General features: G+C 37.4%; 1 long non-coding RNA gene across 2 annotated transcripts in view; it reads right to left on the bottom strand.

Moving 5' to 3' along the window:
* LOC107986263 (uncharacterized) overlaps positions 1 to 5,590 on the bottom strand; it is a 50,786-nt gene extending 45,196 nt beyond the window's left edge. For both annotated transcript variants that reach the window (XR_001741604.2, XR_002959783.1), the window contains exon 1: positions 5,536 to 5,590. This is a non-coding gene — a long non-coding RNA (uncharacterized LOC107986263). The remainder of the gene's footprint in view (positions 1 to 5,535) is intronic.
* Between the last annotated feature and the right edge of the window lie 16,928 nt (positions 5,591 to 22,518).

Consider the following 22,518-nt stretch of genomic DNA (forward strand, 5'->3'; position numbering starts at 1 on the left):
CAGAGGTAAGAAGGGAATAAAGACAATTTTTAACCACTCTTCTCTTTCATTAAAAACAATCAAAATGTCTCTGACTTTTGAATGAATTTTGAGTCAGGAAAAGCTATGCCTCTGGATTATAAAAGCTGGCTCTGCAGCACCTGGTTTTCCAGGAGTTAGAGAAGTGTCAAACTGGCTTAACTCAAACCTGCTTGTGCACCACCTTTGAAATTTGGGCACACTAACCTCTTCGAGGCCACCTTCAGAGTTCATTTTCATGCTCTGATCCCCAAATCTGCTGGTTCTCTCTCAATCTCTGTACTCTTCAGTTAAAATGTCACAGTGGGATGACATTTGATTTGCAGAAGATAGAAGCATAATCATTGCCTTGGATTCAGTCCTATTAAAAATTTCCCTGATAACAAGTTTACCTGGGGGAGGAAGGAGAAAGAAAAAGGAAATCTCTGTGTGTGTGTGTGTGTGTGTGTGTGTGTGTGTGTGTGTGTGTGTGTGTGCATGCACATGTGTGGTGTGGAAGGTGGGGACATCCTTAGAGCTCTGCTGATAAAATCAGCAGAGATTTGAGAGTGCATTACAGTTTTATTTTTTGACCAAACCGTAATGCTGGGGGATTTGACTGCTGGGAGAAAAGGGGACACATTTGTCAGACTTTTCACTTCAATATATGCTTGTGCAGTTGGTAAATAAAATACTTGAGTAGATATGAATTGCTCTGTTGTCCCGTGGCTTTAGGTCTAAGGGTTTACCTTATAGTTTTGCAAGTCCTCCTTTAACTTATAACAGCTTTGTATTGAGTGAAGATATGTGAGAGTCCTTACCTTATAGAAAAGCAGCTGAAAAATCAATGTGCCTACTGAAAACTGAACTCACAGGTTCAGAAGAAAAATGCTTTAAATATCAATAAATGTGTTTCAGAAAAATGTGGTGTTTCTGCCTACTGTGTGACTTGTGTGTAAATTCTAGGACATAGCATGTGCTTGATAAATGACTACTGGATGAATGCATGTGCTATTTATATAACACATATTTCATAACAGCTAACTAGCTAACTGTTCTGCTCTTATTGTAGGTAATGGGTCAGTAATAGGTCCATGTGATGTTGAAAAGAAAATAAGTTGGAAAGGAGGCCAGTTCAACTTAGGTGCTCAATACATGATGGTTGGATACATTAAAAATTCACTCCTGAAAAGATGGTCAGTCAAGTCATTTTATGCTGCCCGTATTTTGTTTCAAGGTTATGAGACTCTAGGCATAAGCAGAACATAACTAAACACAAATTAGAAAAAAACCTGAAATAGATTGCTATATATTGTTTTTGTAAAAGGAATGGCAATTTTTTAAAATTATACTTTAAGTTCTAGGGTACGTGTGCACAACATGCAGGTTTCTTACATATGTATACATGTGCCATGTTGGTGTGCTGCACCCATTAACTCGTCATTTACATTAGGTATTTCTGCTAATGCTATCCCTCCCCCCTCCCCCCACCCCACAACCGTCCCCAATGTGTGATGTTCCCCATCCTGTGTCCAAGTGTTCTCATTGTTCAATTCCCACCTAGGAGTGAGAACATGCGGTGTGACTCCACCTCTGGGCAATTGTTTATATGCCATTATATTAAACAATTATACATATAATTGTTTAACATTGTAGAAACATTTATTATATAAGATTATATAAACAATTGTCATTCCTTTTAAAGACAAAAATTCCCATAGCAATCTATTTCAGGATTTTTTGAAAAAAGTTGTTTAAGTCATAATTAAAACATTTTCCTTGATTTAGAAGGAAAGAGGAATTGATCCCATAGCTGCCCAGAGAGAAAGAACTCTTCTTAGAGAAGGAGGTGACATTCTTTCCATCCATAAATTACTGGTTTAATTCTTAGTAACAGACTAATCATTACTTCAGGCTTTCCAGCTGAGTTAAACCAACATGATGATGTGAGGACCATTAAGAGGTGGGTAGATCACGAGGTCAGGAGTTCAAGACCAGCCTGGCCAATATGGTAAAACCCCGTCTCACTAAAAAATACAAAAATTAGGTGGATGTGGTGACGAGCACCTGTAGTCCCAGCTACTGGGGAGGCTGAGGCAGGAGAATCGCTGGAACCGAGGAGTTAGAGGCTGCAGTGAGCCAAGATGTCTCCGCTGCACTTCAGACTGGTCGACAGACTGAGACTCCGTCTCAAAAAAATAAAAATAAAAAAAAAAAAACAGAAAATGTCTTTTTGGTCATATATGTATGTATATATTTTTAAACCGCTTTATTAAGGCACAATTGGCATGTAAAAAGTTTTGCTTATTTGATGCATGCAACTCAATGAGTTTAGGAATAAGTGATGAAACCATTACTACAAACAAAGCCATAGACATATCCCTCACCTCCCAAATTTTCTTCTGCCTTCTTTGTTATTGCCATCATCATCAATGTGTGTATGTATGTGTGTGTTTGATAAGAACATATAAGATATGCTCTCAGAAAATTTTAAGAATATGATATACTATGTTAGCTCTTGGTACTATTCTGTATGGTAGATCTCCGGAGTTTACTTATCTTACAAAACTGAAATTTTGTACCCTTTGTAAGTCAAATATATTGTTAATGTCAGGCCTCTGGGCCCAAGACTGTACGTATGCATCCAGATGGCCTGAAGTAACTGAAGACTGACAAAAGAAGTGAAAATGGCCTGTTCCTGTCTTACCTGATGCCATTACCTTGTGAAATTCTTTCTCCTGGCTCATTCTGGCTCAAAAGCTCCCCCACTGAGCACCTTGTGACCCCCACCCCTGCCAGCCAGAGAACAACCCCCTTTGATTGTAATTTTCCACTACCTACTCAAATCCTATAAAACGGCCCCACCCCTATCTCCCTTTGCTGACTCTCTTTTCGGACTCAACCCGCTTGCACCCAGGTGATTAAAAAGCTTTATTGCTCACACAAAGCCTGTTTGGTTGTCTCGTCACACAGACGCGCGTGATATTTGGTGCCGTGACTCGGATCGGGGGACCTACCTTGGAGATCAATCCCTTGTCCTCCTGCTCTTTGCTCCATGAGAAAGATCCACCTATGACCTTGGGTCCTCAGACCAACCAGCCCAAGGAACATCTCACCAATTTTAAATTGGGTAAGCGGCCTCTTTTTACTTTCTTCTCCAGCCTCTCTCACTATCCCTCAACCTCTTTCTCCTTTCAATCTTGGCTCCATCCTTCAATGTCTCCCTTCTCTTAATTTCAATTCCTTTCCTTTTCTGGTAGAGACAGAGGAGATGCGTTTTATCCGTGAACCCACTGATGTATTTAATGATATTTTTCTCTTTACTTTTACACAAAGGAAGCATAGGGTCAAATTTCCTACTCTGCTACAGACTAGGTAAGGATAATAATATTTATCTTATAGTGTGATGAAGAACAAATGAATTAGTAACGCAAAGTATTTATTGTAAAGTACAAACTTTGCCATTGAGTCTGAACCCCTTGATACCACAGGAAGTGATATAAACACTTGCAGGTTTTCGAGGCCTCAGGCCACACCTAGCATCCAGGAAGCGTTCATCTTAATGGGATGAGATGGCCATGGGATCTTCTAGGCCTTGTGATGTCTTCTCAAACACCTATTTACCTCTGCCTTTGTAAATCCTTCCTTCCTCTTGCCAACTCAAATTGAACTGATTTCTTGATTCACGGTGTCACCCTGGTATTCTGTATATACCAATATTTCTCAGCCTTGGCACTTATTGACACATGGGACTGGATAATTCTTGTTTGTGGGTGGCTATCCTCTTTACTGTGAGATATTTATCAGCACCCATACCCCTATCCGCTAGATGCCAGTAACTCCCTCCCAGCTGTGGCAACCAAAAATGTCTCCAGATATTGCCAAATATCTCTTAGTGGACAAAACTGCCCCAGTTGAGAAACACTGGTTGTATCATTTATAACGTTTTATTGTACCTATTTAATAAACATCCATATAGCACATATGTCAAACATTTTTTCTAAAAGCATTGCATATGTTAATAGTAATCCTATGAGTTAGGTGCTGGTATCACATCCAGTTTACAATTGAGGAAACTGAAGAACTGAAAGTTTAGAGCTGAGAAAATTTAGGCACAAAGAAGCTAAATGACATCTCCAGGCTAATATATGGAGAGGGGATTTCTATTCCAGTGGTTTGTTTCCAGAGCCCATGCTGCCAACCACCATGCTATGCTTAATCTCCAGTAAATGAATTTGTTTCCACCCTGAATGTGCAAAGCCCAGGGCATGGGGGGAGTGGGGTTGGGACTCAGAGTCTATAATTACCTGAAATAATCTAAAATTATTAATAAATATAAATAATGTTACTAATAAAGCAGGAGCCATGGGCGAAAGATATTATCAAAATAAATCTCACATGTAAGTAGATGGTAATTCCAAAGCATCAAGCACAGTGTAGAATTCCAGCTACATGAAGAAGTGCCTTTCTACATTCCTACCTCTTTAGCAAGATGTGTTTTATATCACATAGGGGAGGGAAGGTTTCAAGTCTTACGTATTAACTAATTTCTAGATGAGGAAACAGATTTAGGGAGATTAGATCACTTCCCAAGATCATAAGGCCAGGGAACAGCAGAAGCAGGTTCAGATTCAGTCTTTTAACATGCCGTCCAGTGCTCTTTACTAATTTCTATGGTTTTTTTTCATTCTCTGGCAACTCTAATCTCATTATCAAAATAATCATTCCCATCATTTTCATGATCCATAATTATTCTTTTCTATAACTATTTTGGTTATTTATTAAAAACCCACAGTGTATGGCTTACTTTACCTTTTTTCATCCATCACAGAGAAATTAAAAGCTCAAAATGTTAAACACATCTACGAATGAGTCTGTTATCATCTATGCCATTATTCAAATTATTCTCAGCTCTTACCAGATCACTAGGTTTTGTTTCTTTCACAGTCAAACTTCTTGATGTTCTGCATAAATGATGTTTGATTTACTGACACGAGGAATAATCTATTCCTAACGATTACAATGTCAGATGCAGTGGTGGAACTATTATAGAATTATTAGAACATTCCAAATGTTCAAATTACACTCCCATGGTCCTTTATAGAATCATTCTTTGGTCTTCCAATGGTCACTATGACAGATGATAATTGTACAACTGCTGTTCTGACTCATGATTAGAGCAACCAGAAAGAATTTTAAATTATTAACAAATTTAAATATGTATAATGTTACTAATAAAACAGCGTCACAGCTGAATATCATCAAAATAAATCTTACATGCAAGTAGATATTTTTCACCTAAGTTTTATATGATTTGTGGAACATTTAGAAGGTCCTTTGCTTCCTCTAAATGTCTACTTACTCAAGGGTTATAATGTCTTAAGTCCTAGTATTAGTGAATGAAGCCTTTTACTTACTATGTTCTTTAAAAAGTCAATAGCCCTGGGAAGGAAGTGCTAATTAAAATTAATTCACACCCAGGTATTAACAGCAGGGCATAGTAATTTCTAGACACAGCTAAAAGACTTACTAACTTACCTTGCTACTTTGAACAAATCACTTAACCTCTCTCAGCTTGTGTTTTTTCATCTGGAAAACAGAAATGATGAAATTGACCTGCAAATTCCTATTGTGAGCATTAAATAATTAACACAAATAAAAACACTTTTTAAAGAGTAATATTGCTAATTTTTTTTGCCGAGATTTTGTGTCATTCTTCTAACTAAAAGCACGAGACCTAAGACTGATAAATGCCCAGGATGAAGGCATTTAAAATAGAATACCTGAACTTCAAATTTTTAGCCACCATAATCCCTGCATGAATTTTTTTTTTTTTAATGATGAGTGTTCAGGATTTGTGGAATATTTGAGAGAAAATCGAAGGCCAAACTGACTATAATGTTACTGCCAACAGATAACTCAAATGCTCAGCTGCCGTTCCGCAACTCTATACCAATTACCCATGATCCTTCCGCACTTCTGGCTCTCCCTTTTGCAAATGAGAAGACATTTTTCTTCTCCTGATTTGGATGTTTCAATCCAAAATGAAAGTTATATGACTATATTGACTCAGGGAAATGCCATTGAAGACCATCTACTACGTGAGTAAAACCAATGCTTACTATTAACCGGCCTAAGCAAAGAGACTGGGGTCTATGCATTTGGAAACCAATATATGAATGTTCTGGCATCTGCCAATCTAAATGCTAACAGTAGAAAAAAAAAAAAGCCTTATTGTATTCAGGATGGTCGCCTGAATGAACACTGTGGTTGTCAAGAGCCTGAGAAGTTTCTACCTGCTCTCTAGCTCTCTAAAATTCCACTATTAGGGAGTTCTTAGACTGACCACGTGTTCATAAAGTACAAATATTATCTTGTGGAGACGATAGACCCAATAAAGGACTGCCCACCCAGACTAAGAACAGAAACAGTCAACTATTCATCACTTTCCTCTATCTAGATTCATAGTCATTTCCCACTATTGGCCATTCGCTCTGCCAGGCACTTTTACAAACTTTGCCTATTAAATTTCCCAGCAAATCAGTGACAAAGTTAGGTATTCTCATTCCCTTTGTGTTACTGATAAAATTACTTAATCTATAGGAGCTAAATATATGGGGGTCAGGTGTGGAGCTGAGACTCAAACTTTAATGTCCTTGCTTTATCCCTTGCACACACAACCATGGAATGAATGAAGCTTAACATATTACATGGGAAAGTCCTAACAATATTTTAGAACCACAGTCCTCTGAACTGCTATGGTTTTTTATTTAAATCTCTTACTGCTTGTATTACCTTTTTTTTTTAATATCCTAACTATTGATGAGCATCTGCCCTGCTAGAATACTGTGTTGTGGCATTTCCCACAATTCCAAGCATTTTATCTTTTCATTATGTTCATTCATTCATTCATTCATTCATTCATTCATTCATTCCTCTCTTATTTTGGGGTCCATGAATACAGAAATAAATGCAATGAACTTAGCCTAGTGATTCTCACTTCAACTCTTGTCAAATGAATGAAATGCAGCCTTCCTTGACTATTTTAGTCACTTCCCTAAATCCCTGGAGATATAAAGTATCCTTTCATAGCTCTTCACTCACACGTGTTTTTTATTTTAGGATTTCTTTTCCACATCAAGTATGTATTTCCAGCAAGTGATACCCAAGGTCTGGGAAATAGCTTCTCACTTGGTAGAACCTTTTGTCACCTATTTCAAAGACAAATCTATGTTTCACTTCCATCTCACTTTTGCTTTTACAGCCATAAACTTGTCTGTACTCATTATAGTTGTGATTGCTGACATGGATAATCAGCCCAATATGTAAAGAGGATTTTCAGAATTTTCACAAGGCTAGAGGAGTTCCCTGGGTGAAATTTGCCCAAGTTCACATAAAATTCCTGTGCTTGCATGTAATTAGTTTCAAGCTTTTACTTTCTAAGTTATTGACTCCTGGGAGCAGCACACCCACACCTTGCCTTTTTGTTTGTTGAGTTTATTTTTAATATTCTCTGGCATTGCTTTTTACAAAATAATTTTTACCTTTATAATACTTTTTGATTTACAGGAAAGTTGCAAAGATAATAAAGAGTGTTTCCATATATACATCACCAATTTTTTCCATTGTCAACATCTTGCATTTTCCTGGCACACTTGCCAAAACTAAAAAAACTAAAAAACTGGACATTGGTACATTACTACTGCCAAAAATTCAGACACCATTTTTTTATCCCAGTATCTAATCCAGGCTACCACACTGCATTTAGTTGTCATATCTCTACAGTTCTGTGACAGTCTTTTCTTGTTTTTTTTATGACTTTGACACTGTTAAAGATTATTGGCCAGCTATCTTGTATAATTGCCCTCAATCTGTGTTTTTTTAATGTTTTCTTCACAATTAGACTGGGGATAATGAGTTTGGGCAGAATATCACAGAAGTAAAAGTTGCTTCTTCTCATATTATCTTATCAGAAGTACCTGACATCCACATGACATGCTGGTGATGGCATCCATTATTAGTTGATTGACACAGTGTTTTTCAGGTTTCTCCATTGTACAGTTATTATTTTTTCTCTTTCCTTGTGCTATTCTTAGGAAACAATTACCAACTCTAGCATATTCTCAAGGGAGATGCAGGAAATCTAAACTCTTCTGTTCTGAGAATTGGAATTAAATTTATTCTGCAAGAATTGTTGAAGGTTGCTTCATCACATTTATTCATTTATTCAACACTTTTTATCATTATGGAGTCATGATTTTATTTTATACTTTAGGACCTGATGCAACACTATGTTATTTATTGTGTTTAAATTGTTCCAGCTCTGACCATCAGGAGCTACTTTTGGTTCTACCACTGCTTTTTATTTTATGTGCTGACAGAAATAAATTTGCTAAACAATGTCTACTTTGAGAATTAATACAGTTCAACACTTGATTAAGCAGTCGTAAGACAACATGAAAAAGTATAAAAATTAAAAATCACAAAATTAAAAGGAAAAAGCACCATGAGGTCAAGGACTTTGATTTAATGTTGGGTCTCCAGTACTTACCGTGATTATAATTGTGGTCACTGACAGGGATAATAGGACTTTGTCTGGTTTACTCTTGGGTCTCTGGTACTTACAGCAGCATCTAACACACGGTAAAGGCTCCATAACTATTTGTAAATTTATTGTTTAAGAAAATTATATCCTGTAAATTGCTTGATGAAATTATTTCTTACAACTATATTATCTTTAACTGTTCTTTCTCAGCTGACTTCTGTCACACAAATGCATGTGCACATGCATGTGTGCACACATAAGTAAATATATACCCTAACGAGGCAGAGAGGCAGCATTTACTTCTTACCTCTCCTTTCTCTCCCTTCTCCATCATACTCTCACCAACTTCATAATTTTTAGTCTAGTCTTTTTCAGTCTTTTCTCATTCCACTCTGGCATGGGACTATTTATAAATTGAGGTCAGTATCTTCTAGAAATATGTCAATTTGATTGTGGGGAAAATATGATTCATATCCCAGTAGACAGAAAGTGGCCTTTATTTGTTGTCAGAGTTGACAATAGAATATGCTTTTAAATATATAGGTATTCTCATAATAAAGATGTTCTGTTATTTGTTCTGTTATTTATTCTGTTTCATTCATCATTTATCCAACAAACATATGTTGGGTGACTACCATGTGCTATGAATTCTGAATTCATAGAAAAGGAAGGCCATCTTCCTCCCACAAGAAATTTGTAGGAGTTGACCAAAAACAATTGTTCCCAGATTAGGCTTATTGTGGTCACTAATTATACAAAAGTAAATTCCTTTAAAGGATGTTGAATGACCTTCCAATAACAAAGATAGAAATTTGTTTTCCAAGAGACACTTCAGGATCATGTTTCATTTGCATTTCTCTTCTCTGCAAGCATCCAATGGACCTCATTCTCTTTAACCCTTGTTTTATTTTATCAATAACATTAGGAATCTGTTTTGAACTATTTCAAAAAAGCCCCTTCCAGCTAAAATAGTCTCTCTTCTAAGTAGAAGAACAATCACTTTGGTTCGATAGACATGGACTTGAATTCTGATCCCATTATTTTAGACAAATTGTCTTTGAGGCTTAGTTTCTCAATAGTAGCAATTGACTTAATATAATGACATCTTAAGTGTTTTTGAAATATAGAAAGTTTCTAGTTAAAATATGCCTTTCAATAAGTGTTGTTTCCCTCCTTGTCTTTAGTCTTCTCAGCATCTTCTCTGAGTTAATGTTCATGGTCTTAAATTCTGATATCATCCTTAGGTAAATTCCTTGATTTCTCTAGGATTTAATTTCCTCTTCTGTAGAAATGGCACTGGTATGATTATCTTATCATTTTTTGGTGACCAAGTGAGGTAATGTATAGAAAATATATGATCCAATACATGCTTATGTCATTTTATTGCACTTTGCTTTATTGTGCTTCACAGATATTGCAGTTTTTACAAATTGCAGGTTTGCGGCAACCCTCTGTTGAGCAATTCTATTGTACCACTTTTCCAATAGCATATACTTGCTTCATGTCTCTGCATCACATTTTGGTAATTTTCACAATATTTCAGACTTTTTCATTATTAATTGTCTCTGTTATGGTGATCTGTGATCAGTGATCTTTGACGTTATAATTGTAATTGCTTGTAATTGCTTTGGAGCACCGCGAACCACAGCCACATAAGACAGTGAACTTGATTGATAAATATTGTGTGTGTTGGCCAGGTGCGGTGGCTCATGCCTGTAATCCCAACACTTTGGGAGGCCGAGGCGGGCGGATCATGAGGTCAGGAAATCGAGACTATCCTGGAGAACATGGTGAAACTTTGTCTCTACTAAAAATACAAAAATTAGCTGGCGTGGTGGTACATGCCTGTAATCCCAGCTACTCCAGAGGCTGAGACAGGAGAATGGCCTGAACCAGGAATTCGAAGGTTGCAGTGAGCAGAGATTGCGCCACAGCACTCCAGCCTGGCGACAGAGCCAGGAAAAAAAAAATGTCTGGAAAAAAACAAACTGTGTAATTAGATGTAGGTTAGACAATGACAAGACAGAGAAAACAATCATAGAACTGTAGAGTGAATATAACTAATATGTCTTATAAGTCTCTCTAATTTTTTCTTTATTTTAAAGAAATTAAAATGAGAAATTGTATAGGATGAATTACAGGTTAGATTTATGAGAAAGATGGATAAATCATGTTGTTTTATATTTTTAAGTTAAAAACATTATGTTTCCCTGCTACTTTCAACCTTTTCGATGATTTGATTAACTGCCCATCCTGATGAGGTTTAATAAAAGGCAACGTACAATAGTGATAAAGTTTCAGTATCTAATACAGGCAACTAGAAAGGGTCATCATTAGTCAGTATTGTGTATACAGAAAATATGCAAAGATATTTGCTAAGCTAATTATAGAATAATAAGCACCTACAGTAATGTAGAGTCACATTGCTGGAGGTAGTTTGAAGTAGGTAACTCTTCATCCAGGTTGTTGGAGCTGTTACTTCTGCTTTTGTTTGGAGATCAAACTTGTATTCTGAAGTCCTTGTGCTTTCATAACATTTTGTTTGTCTGAAATTCTAAATTCGATAATTCTATCTTTTAAGTGTAAGACACCATAATGTTGTAGGCACAGTGTTAAAAATTTTACTTTTCTTTGCATAGATTTTTCTGGGTTAACATAAAAGTAGGGGTTGTGTGATTTCTCACACAACCTGTGGGTTCTTGAGGGAACCCAGAAGTAGACTGGAGAAAGGGTCTTTTTTTCCCTGTCTAGTTCCAGGAGGTGAACCACACACAAACTGCCTAATTTAGACTACTGCCGAGATAATACTGATTGCGGCCACAAATCAACCTTGTCAAGTTAAATATGGCACCCACAGAAATTCTCACACATTCTTGGCATTTGTTCTCTTGGTGCTGTGATGGGCTGATTAACAGCTCTGCTCTTTCAAAAAGACCATCATTCATGGGTTCTGTCTCTCTGACCACTCCCAGTATGACTCATGTTGCTGTATAGGTATGGACTTTTTCACTGCCAAAATAAAAAAAAGTTATGTTTTCCATGATGTAAATTGAACAGCCATACCTAAGATAGTTCAGCATGGTTACAGCTTGTAATGAAATAAATTATACGTGCAAGAAACAAAAAAATGTACAGAAATGCAATTTAGATCTTGGAAAATGAAGAGAAAGAATAACAGGTTTGTAAGCTCTTTCTGATTAGCTTGTAACTTGCTGGTGTCTTTATTAGTAGTTCATTGGAGCCATGTGAGCTCCTGAATCATTGATCAAAGTCAAATCTAAACTCTCCTCTTCCACTCTCATAAAAATAATAGTTAACATATATTGAGACCATATTGTATACCAGAGGCAGTCCTACAGATTTCATGTTTCATGTTTTATTGAATTTTTTGAATGCAAGCTTTTTGAACATTAATGTGCATAACAATCTCCTAAAGAACTGTTAAAATACAGATTCCTCACTAACATCCTTCCTCCCTAATTTCAATTCTGATTCTGAGTTCTGGGACAAGACCCAATAATTTGCATTTATAGCTAGCTCCTAGATGACATGGTGCTGGTGCTGCCAGTCCATTAGTTACCCATTGAGTAGTTTTGCCGATGACTCTCCGAGTCAGCTACTACCATCGTTAACCCCATTTTATTCATGAGAAAACCAATCCTCATGAAGAGACGATAAGAATTTTTCCAGGATCAAGACATTGGAAAAGGTAGAGACAGGACTTGGATTTGAGAACAAAATCCACTATCTTAACTACTGCATATATTAAACATTAATCTTGGATTCTACTTTCTCTTCAATTTGATTTGTGAATTAAGTCCTTAATGTGCCTGGGTGAGCTTAACCTACAAACCAAGAGACTTCTACGGCTAGTAGAACTGGGGGAAATATTCTTACTGGTTTTTATTTACAGCCGAGAAGTACAGCGGCTGTAAAAATTAGAAGAGTGAAAGAAACCCTGGTAACGTCTTCTGGTGATTTTGAAGTGGAGAGTTTCAGGCTCAGGCTGCCAGCATTTCTGAATAGCAGTTGAGCAACTGGCAACATCCCAGGACCTCAGCAGGACTGGGAATTCTGAATGGACAATATTTCTTTGTTGAATTCCTCCAACTAAGATTAATCATGACTGGGCATTGTTTAGACATTGTCAGGGTGTATGCTTTCTAGTAATTGATTTATTTCCACATGGACACCTTGTTTTTAATGCAAATGGTTTCTCTTGATGGGTAGATTTTATTCCTCTGTGTGTGCCAGGGGGCAGTGTGGTTTAATCATAGTAATTATGTTTCTTTAGGCCATGTTACATTATTTTTACTTTCTGAAATCTGTGCTTGTAGCCTACAGGAGGAGGAGATACGGGGTGTTCTATGATTCTTAGTTAAGCTGAGCTTCTAAATCCAGCTCATTTTGTTCTTGTTTTTGCTTTCCAAATATTGTATTTCTTCAGAGCGGGAACTCTGAGAACACCTGACTTTTGGAAGGCAGCTTTATTAACAAGAAGGTAACCTCATGGAATGGAGGTGAAATTGCATAAAGTTAGCAACGAATGCCTATTTAAACATTAGAATCAAAGGGAGGCAAAGCAAAACGAAATCCATCATTAATATAAATGTGCTCCATTATCAGGGTGCTGAGCCAAGAAATGCCATAGGGTGGGTTAAGAGGGAACTTAGTGACCTTTCAGGACTTTGAAACAGCCACTCAGGAAAGTAGGTCTTGCCTATTTTAGACACTCTGAAAATCTAATCCTTGGAATGCAGGGACATTATGGGAATGAAGTCATTTGTCATATATTCTGAGTTCCACATCCAGCTGATATGTTTATGATGATTGTAGTCGTGTTTCTATGAGTGCTCTCAGGTTCATACACAAGGTGGTCCATTTGTTATTGATATTTGACCACTGTAAGCTCCACAACTTATGGGTTGAAATTTATGTGAGCACAAATGACTTCTTTTACCTTCAGTAACACAAGAGTGACACTAGAATGTACAGACTTCTAGAGTCAGAATACCTGAGTTTGAATGCCATCTTTGCTTCTTACTAGTTATGTGACCTTAGGTAAGTAAGTTAACCTCTCTGGCTTTGGTACAGAGGGTTGATGAGAGGATTAAATGGGTTAATGTATGTATGTAAAACATTTAGAAAGTGCCTGGCACCTAGCAAATACTATGTTAAATATAAGTATTTACTATTGTAATTGGTGGTCATAAAGTCAACCTGAAGAGCAGGTTTAATGAGCCATCATGGTCTCTTTTCCTAGATCTTTACCCTAATATTGACTCTTGTAAGCTTCTAATTCTGAGGTGAGAACCAAAATGAAAGGATCCTAAGGAAAGGCAGAGCTCTTCTAAATACTCTATTCCAGGTCTCTTTTGCTCTGGACTCCATACTGGCTTCTTTTTGGAAAGGGGTCCCTTTGACAGGGAAATCAGTTCCTTGCCTGTCTTGCTAAAGCAACTCTAAAAAGAGGCATTGCAAAGAGAAAACGATTCAGAAGAATATATTCAGTGAACAAAATATTTAAAAACTGCTTTATTGCACATATGGGAACAATAGACTCTGGGACTACTAGGGGAGGGAGGGAGGGGATATGGGTTGAAAAACTACTGGATACTTTCATGCGCGTCCGTGTGAAGAGACCACCAAACAGGCTTCGTGTGAGGAACATGGTTGTTTATTTCACCTGGGTGCAGGAAGGCTGAGTCCGAAAAGAGAGTCAGCAAAGGGTGGTGGATTATCATTAGTTCTTATAGGTTTTGGGATAGGCGGTGAAGATAAGAGCAATGTTTTGCGGGCAGGGGTGGATCTCACAAAGTACATTCTCAAGGGTGGGGAGAATTACAAAGAACCTTCTTAAGGGTGGGGGAGATTACAAAGTACCTTCTTAAGGGTGGGGGAGATTACAAAGTACATTGATCAGTTAGGGTGGGGCAGAAACAAATCACAATGGTGGAATGTCATCAGTTAAGGCTATTTTTACTTCTTTTGCGGATCTTCAGTTACTTCAGGCCATCTGGATGTATACGTGCAAGTCACAGGGGATGCGACAGCTTGGCTTGGGCTCAGAGGCCTGACAGATACTATGCTGACTACCTGAGTGATGGGATCTGTACCCAAAGCCTCAGCATCATACAATTTACCCATGTAACACACCTGTACATGTACCTCCATTATCTAAAATAAAGCCAAAATTTAAAAAACAAAAAACAAACAAAAAAAAACTTACTTATTCTTCTTTCTAAAGGTTTTCCCTCCTAGTGTCTAGCCCAATTTTTTCTTATAGGAATGAGTTTGTCTGTAGTTGATACCACTTCTTCATTTCCTTCTTGAATGATGGTGGATAAGACATAGGGGAAATTCCATTTGAGGTCACCCTCATGTTAAAGTATGGTAGCCAGAGCATGGCCCAGAGAATGTTATAACCTGCACTAAATGGCTATGTTGTCATGGCAGCTTCACTCTCATCTCTATGTCCACTCTGCTTTGGATTAAGCAGGGTAAATACCCCTTTGCCAGCCACGTTCAGGTACCAGGAATCTGTTTTTCTTCAGTCTTGAGAGAAGCTTGACTAAATTAGAGGTTTAGGAGAATGAAAAAGGTATAGGACTCTGCTTGTCCTACACTTTTATACACATAACAGGAATAATGCAAGGGTAGCATTAGGAAAGCAGTTGATTAACACTTCCTGTGTGTGATATGTAAGGTTAGCCATTTGGACACCCCCTAGAGTACTTGAATATAACCAAACAAAGCACAGGATGCCATGGTTTCAAGACTATCCTAAAGGAAACAGTATCTATGGCTAATTGATCAGTGCTACTGCACATGGTCATCCTACTCCCATTATATTCATGTGATTCAAGCTAACCACGTTTACCCACCCCAGTGAACAAATTTCCGCTGTAACCAGCCAGGGCACTCCCTTTTACTCAATCAGAACACTTATTTTTTAAGTAATCAAAAGATCTGCAAATATATTAGGTTGAAAATATTTTGGAAAGGTTAAAAATCTTTCTCAAATGCAACTTATTTATTAAATATATTCTCATCCATCAGAAGTCCTTCACAATCACAGTGTCCCTATTTTTCCCCTGAAAATTGTTAATGAAGGGGTGTGTGTGCCAGTATGTACATAAAATCAGACCAAGGAAGAAGGATGGCATGGTGTTTTATTTAACAGAGAGTTTTAACAAACTCAAAGCACATTTCCATCCAACATGGGGTAGGGCCTGTCCTCTTTGTGACTGGGCTGCTTGGTTTTGGACTAGACTCCCATAGGCTTTAGGTACAACTACGTCAAGAAGCCAAAAATAGAAATGATAGCATGCAGGGGATTAAAAAATGGTTTAAAGTAATTTTTCAAAGGCCCTACTATACATATTTAATATTTTATCATGCTTACTTCTTCCTCTTTCTCTGGTTCATAAATCTGTGGCTCAGAAGTTTGCACAGATTCTCAGAAATGATTTTTCTAAATACCATAGTATTTGTTCACAGTGACTGCCGAGTCAATGTCCAACTAAACACATTATCTCCCACTACGTAGAAAATTAGATACTAATACATTTTCTGCCAAATAGGTTTTCTAACTGGAACCACTGTATTTTCCAATGACATGAATACCCTTAAATGTCAATATGAATAAATTACTAATAATGAACTCTTCATTTATCTTTAATGCTTTGCCAAACTCCAGCTTGATTGAAAAGCTGATATTTAGTAGAAAGAAGAAAGGGTGTATCTTGAGGAAGAATCAAACTAACAAGGGTAATAGAGTAGAGCATTTCTGTGTCAAATTCCATCTGAACAATCCTGTTTTTTTAAAGGTCGGAAGCCCATACATACTTGGAATTTTTGCTCTCTCTGCCTTTGATTTAAAGTGCAAAATCAAAAGCCTGTTCTATGAAAAGAAGTGCACTTGAGCAACTCAGGAATGTGCTGAAGCCTTTCTACAAATTAATCTCTTCTTTAGTGAAGTGAAACATCGGGACCATTCAGGGACAGTGGGAGGGTCTCAGGGGCTTGAATTTGAGCCAAGCTTAATGAGAAGGAGTTGGAGGCAAAATGGAATTGAACTGTACCTTGTTAACTGTTGAAAGCTGTGAATGAGGTGGACTTACTGGCCAAGAATTCTTTTCCTTTGTTGCAATTAACTGCAGTATAGGGGATACTTGTGAGGTAGTTTTCACGATCTTTAAAGATCATTTTTTTAAAAAATTATACATTTTTACAAATGATTTATAAATTTGCTACTGCTTTGAAGACATATAAATTCATGTTTCAGTGAAGTAAACATTTATTCATTTCACCATTTTTACTGGGAATCTCTATTGCTAGCCACTGTCTCAGGTGCCAGGGGGAATAGTAGTGTTAAACACAGTCCCTGGCTCCAGTGACTCAACTTCCAGCTGGAATCTCTCAGCCCTAGCAGGAAAGGCCAAAACCAAGAGGACATATATGCATCAGACCTCTCTCTCTGCAGTTCTCTGAGCAAACTATTCCTCTTAGGGGATCATGGCATATTGTTTCCAGGGAGACCTTTCTGTGCTGCAGATGCTGGTTTCTTCCATCAATTTCTTCTATAGAAAACTGCTAACTAAACCTGCTAAGCTGGAAGCCTGGTAACCTTGAGAATGAATGTTCAACTATGACCCGGGGAACATGGATTTATGACAGATAAAAATCAACTGGAACAAGTTACTAAAATGTTCTATGACTCAGTTTCCTGTTTTGTAAAATGGAGATGGGATCTGCTCTGCAGGGTTGCTGGGAAATGTGTGCTGACCACAATTGACCACAATTCGCAACGTCTCAACATGTTTCTCAGATGTGACATACCTGATTAGCACCTTTGGATCATTCAAAAATACACCAATTTTATTATACATATTGTCTCTTAAAAAACGAGCTGCTAAATTGTTTAATGGGTAGAACAATTCTATGCCTAGAATGGCCATTGAATCAGGTGTGGAACCACAGGTGTCTTGTAAGTGGCTCTCCAGAGCGAAAGGTTCCAAAGCTAACAGTAAAGTGGGTAAGGTGTGCCCTGAAGTGTAGGAAGAAAAATTGAACTCTTTATAGGTTTTATCTCATCTGTTACTAGTCTCTGTTTTCACATATTTCATAATGTGCATATTAGAATAGTAGATGTATTCATATATACAAATATGTAATTTATTAATAAGTACACATATTTTGGGAGCGCATGCTTAATTTTTAATTGACAGACCTTATAGCCAAAAGAGTTAAGAGACCACTATTTTAGAGGAGGAACAATTAAACTAGTCAGTCAAAAGTAATAAAGAAACCAAAACCATGTAGGAAGGCAATATTCCAGGTTAATTCAAATTGTCTTTAATGTGAATGGACAAAAACCCTCTAAATATAAAAAGTAACTTGTTTCTGTTTTTGTTCATTTTATTTATTTTGAGACAGGGTCTTACTTTCTCTCTCCCAGACTGGAGTGCAGTGGTGCGTCGCACTCCCAAGCTCAAGTGATTCTCCTGCTTCAGCCTCCCAAGTAGCTGGGATTACAGGCGCGCACCACTACCACCCGGCTAATTTTTGTATTTTTAATAGAGATGGAGTTTCACCATGTTGACCAGGCTGGTGTTGAATCCCTGACCTCAAATGATCCACCTGCCTCAGCCTCCCAAACTCTTGGGATTACAGGCCTGAGCCACTGTGCCTGGCCTTTTTTTCATTTTAATGCATACAATCTGAATCTTGAATTCGGTAGGGGTTCTTTGCTGGAAGCCTGTTTCTAGAATTAGCTTTCAAGATTCTTCTACAACATGGGAAAAGTTACAAAAATGAAACAAAAATGACTTTGTAGGCTATTTGCAAGTTCAGGTCACTTTTCCCCTTTCTACCTTACTGTGACCTCTGAGGAAGCTGGCCTCGGGGGCTGCATTATCTAAACTTCATTGGACTCAGAGGTCTGTTTGCATTTGGCCAATGAGAAGCCCTGGCTGAGAATGGAGAGTGGAAGAAGGGAGTGTAGAGCATTGATCACCTCAGTTCCTGCTGGGCCAAAGTGGCAATTTGGTGATGGCTGGAGGGCCACAGACCCTGTCCAGCAAATTTTTCCAAAAGGCATTGCTCTGTCTGAGCTCCTGATGCTCATCGCTCCCTTTGATTCTTCAGGTTGAGATGGGTTAAGAGCAATCTGGCTCTTGCTGTATTATTTCTTGTTGGTTGAGTTGTAAATAGACCTATTATTAAACTCTTCCTCATTGTCCCTTTTGGTTTACATCTATTTCCTGTTAGTATCCTGGCAGCATATCCAATTCAATTCAATCTGCATATGAAAATATATACGTGGATAGTATGTAGACTCCAATCTGGCTATTTCCAAAGTTCATCTGTTCTTATATTCAAAGAGGATTTTGTTTTGTATATAAAAGAAAGTCGATTAGGGAGACTTGATTCACACAATCACAAGGTGAAGTCCCACAATAGGCCATCTGAAGGCTGGGAAGAAAGAAGCCAGCAGTGGCTCAGTCCAAGTCCAAAAGCCTCAAACCCAGAGATTTGATGCTCTTCTTGTTTAAAGCAGTTTTTTTAACAATATATGTAAAAGTACTATTTTAATAGAAATATCATGACTTTAATTTTTCTTACATGATGCAAACATATCCCTAGAAAAGGAGGCAGGTATCTCCTCAGAAATTGGCCTTTTAGAACACATACCAAGCAAGTATAATACCATATCAACAGAAATACAAAATATAGTGATAATGTGCTTAATAGATAATGCGCTAATGCGCTTAATAAAGTTTAATTGGAAATCAAGTGTCAGACTGTCCTGGGGGAATAAGTTAACCTTCTAGGGAATGCAAATATTTCACTACTGCATGACTAAGATATACAGAGATACAAATGTAAGAGGAAAATAAGTTTAAATTTTTGAAAGAACCCAATAGTGCTACCATTACTAACAATAATATCTAACATTTATTGAGTGCTTAAACTTTGTGCTTTACATGTGTTACCATGTTTAATTCTCATAATAACCCATAAAGCAGTTACTATCCCCATTTTTTTGACACAGAAACTGAAGAAAAGGAAAAGAAATTTATCCAAGATAGGAGTCTACAGAATCTGGCTCTCTCTATATATGATGATGATTTTACAAGGTCAGTAAAAGAAAACTAATGTTCACTTAAGAAAAAATAGTTTATGCATTAATATTTTTTTCTTTAATTCTAAGGAGTTCATCTCAGCAATTACAATAGAATTATTCCAGAAAGGGAGAAAAAAGAGCTCTAGGAGTCCTGTAAGACATATTAAAGGGATACGTTAGAAAGAGAAAGGTGGGGGGGGAGGTGGCTTTTCAATAGTTAGAATATTTGTATGAAAGTCATTTTTGAAGCAAATAAAGGAATCTTTTAAAGTAGAGACCCAGTTGTCCAAGGTCTTTCCCAAGCTGGTCCGTATCAACCAATAGTCTGGAATACTTAATGGGCAGAGACAAATAATTCAACCTAAGTTTACAATTAGAAGTAAACTTGAAAATCTACTCCCTTTTAGAAATGGTGAAATCTCCTGGATGTTTAAAACATGTCACATTGGCTCTTATTTATCACATTCAACTGTCAGTTTTGCCTAGGAGAAAACAAATACAGTTGGCAAACTGTGGCCCTAACTGTTGTTGGGGTAAGTGATTTATCCTGCATGGAACAAAGGGAAAGGGCCAGAGTGCTGAGTTCTGGTCTATTCTGATGCTGAGCAGTCCCCATCCTTGCTCTCAAAATCTGGATGTCTTTTGGCCAGGCTATATTGTAGATCAAATACATTCCAGCAGAAGATCTCTTACTAACCTCCTAGGATTACCCTGCATTTCTGAGACTGAAGTTCAGGCTCTGGAGAATTAACATTTCCCATAGAATGAAGAGTGTAAGATGTATCAAAAGAGGAAAAAAAAAAAAAAAGCAACACAAGAATGCATGTCATGTGAGATCATTATTAAGAACCAGAAGAATTTCTGATGGAAAATTCCAAATTCTCTTTGAACAACTGCCTTGGGGAATGTCCTTTAGGAAACACTGGACTTACATATAATATGTCATTAACTGTGCTTATGATTTCCTTTCAGTGTTTATAGGTAGGAGTTAAGGCGTGGAATGTACAAATGTAACACAAAAATTACAGTACAGTGATTGCTTCCTTTGCCAATTCACTCTCCAGAAAGTCATGAAATTCATTGCAGCGTCATCTCTGGTATGAACAGCATACCAGAAACTTAAGCTTTTACCTTTCTTTAACCTCACAAGTTAGATCTGACCCAGAGTCTGTATTGTACACATATTGTGACAAGCACTTTGAGTGAATTTGGAAATGTGGGGCACTCCTACTGTAGACAAGTCCAAAATCTCTCTGTACCAGAGACATCTTCCTCAGCCTTACTTATGTATGATAGGAGGAAGAGACATTGTCTCTGGAAAAAAATAATAATGTGGAGTTGGATTCCTGGGCTGTTCTCCACATTAGCCATTGCTGATTTGTCGCGTTTGGGGACTGTGGCTGTGGAGAAATTATGGGTTGAATTGGTGAAAGTCCAGTGCTAATGGGGCCAAAGTTCACTGGCCTGGTTTGTCTCTTGGTGGCTGTCATAACTGTGACCCCATTTGGCACAGTTATGCCCTTTGCCGCCTGGGTGATTTGGTTCTCATCGCACACATGGGGCTGAGAGGGTTGAGCTTAGTGCTCTAATCTGATGACAGAACTCTGGTGTCAGCCTAGCTGCCTTTACTCTGAGACCTTGAACAACATGTTTAGGTTCTGTCTAGGCTTCAGATTCCTTTCCCAAAGGGCTTTGGAAAGCATTTGTCATGATTTCACTAACTAAATGCTTAGACCACTGATGGTAGGAAACACAGTTTATATTTCTTCTCTTTCCCATGCAGTGCCTTACTTACTGCCAAATATAAAGATAGAAGTAGAAAATTTTAAGGAAATTGATTCATACTGGGTCACCAGAATAGACTCAATGGTAAAAAATTTCCTTTATAATATATAGTAGTAATCATAATAGTAGTAATGTAATCATAGCAGTAGTAGTTGTAATAATAGTAATAGAGCAACTAACATTTGTCAATTGCATGACATCTTGTGAAAGGTTAGTATCTAATTTAATATTCGTAACAATACTCTGAATCAGGTACTATTACTGTATCCAATTTATGGCTGAGGAAGCTAAGAGAAAGAATGCTCAGGTTACTTGACTGAGATCAATAGCAAGTAAATGACAAAACCAGGAATTGCTGAAAGTTGGTTCCAAAGTTAATGTCATGTAGCCACTTCATAAACTGAATACTTTTGGACACTGTATATCTTATAAATACAAGCATCTCTACAATCTATTTGGCTTCTGTAGAGTATTTGACATACAGAAATTTCTCATGTGTCAAAATGTTTGAAAAATCAGGGATTAACTAATGGAAAAATAGAGAAAGGAGAAATACAGTATGATTCTACCTGACTACTTTTCTTATCATCGGGCTCCTACCATGAGAGAGTTTCAGAATTTAGAAAACATAAAACTTTCCAGAACCGATTTCTTTGGTCTTCTTTATAAACAGAGTAAATTAGATTGCCCTGTGTTTATTTATTCTCACTGGGAAAACATCTCATTTGCTCCCATTGAGATTTTCAGGTTAAAACTGGTTTTCCTCTAAAGGCAGATTGGTAAATTAACAAAGGAACTGCAAGCAATCCTCAGACTAACTGCATAGTTGAGAAAAAGCATGAATACTTCTAGCTCCTTTCATTCCATGAGGATCAATTTCACCTGTGGTTCTTTACGCCTTAAGGGCATTATTGATCCAGCTTCCTGTTTCACCAGGTCTTCACTCAAAGCTGCCTAAAAAAAAAAAATACACAAACAACAACAACAGCAACAAAACCCTTTTCCATCCATCTCTATAACTAGAAGACCAGGAGGCAATCCACTGAAAAATTTAGTAATGTTT

The sequence above is a fragment of the Homo sapiens genome, chromosome 4 (assembly GCF_000001405.40).
Source record: "Homo sapiens chromosome 4, GRCh38.p14 Primary Assembly".
Classification (NCBI taxonomy): domain Eukaryota; kingdom Metazoa; phylum Chordata; class Mammalia; order Primates; family Hominidae; genus Homo; species Homo sapiens.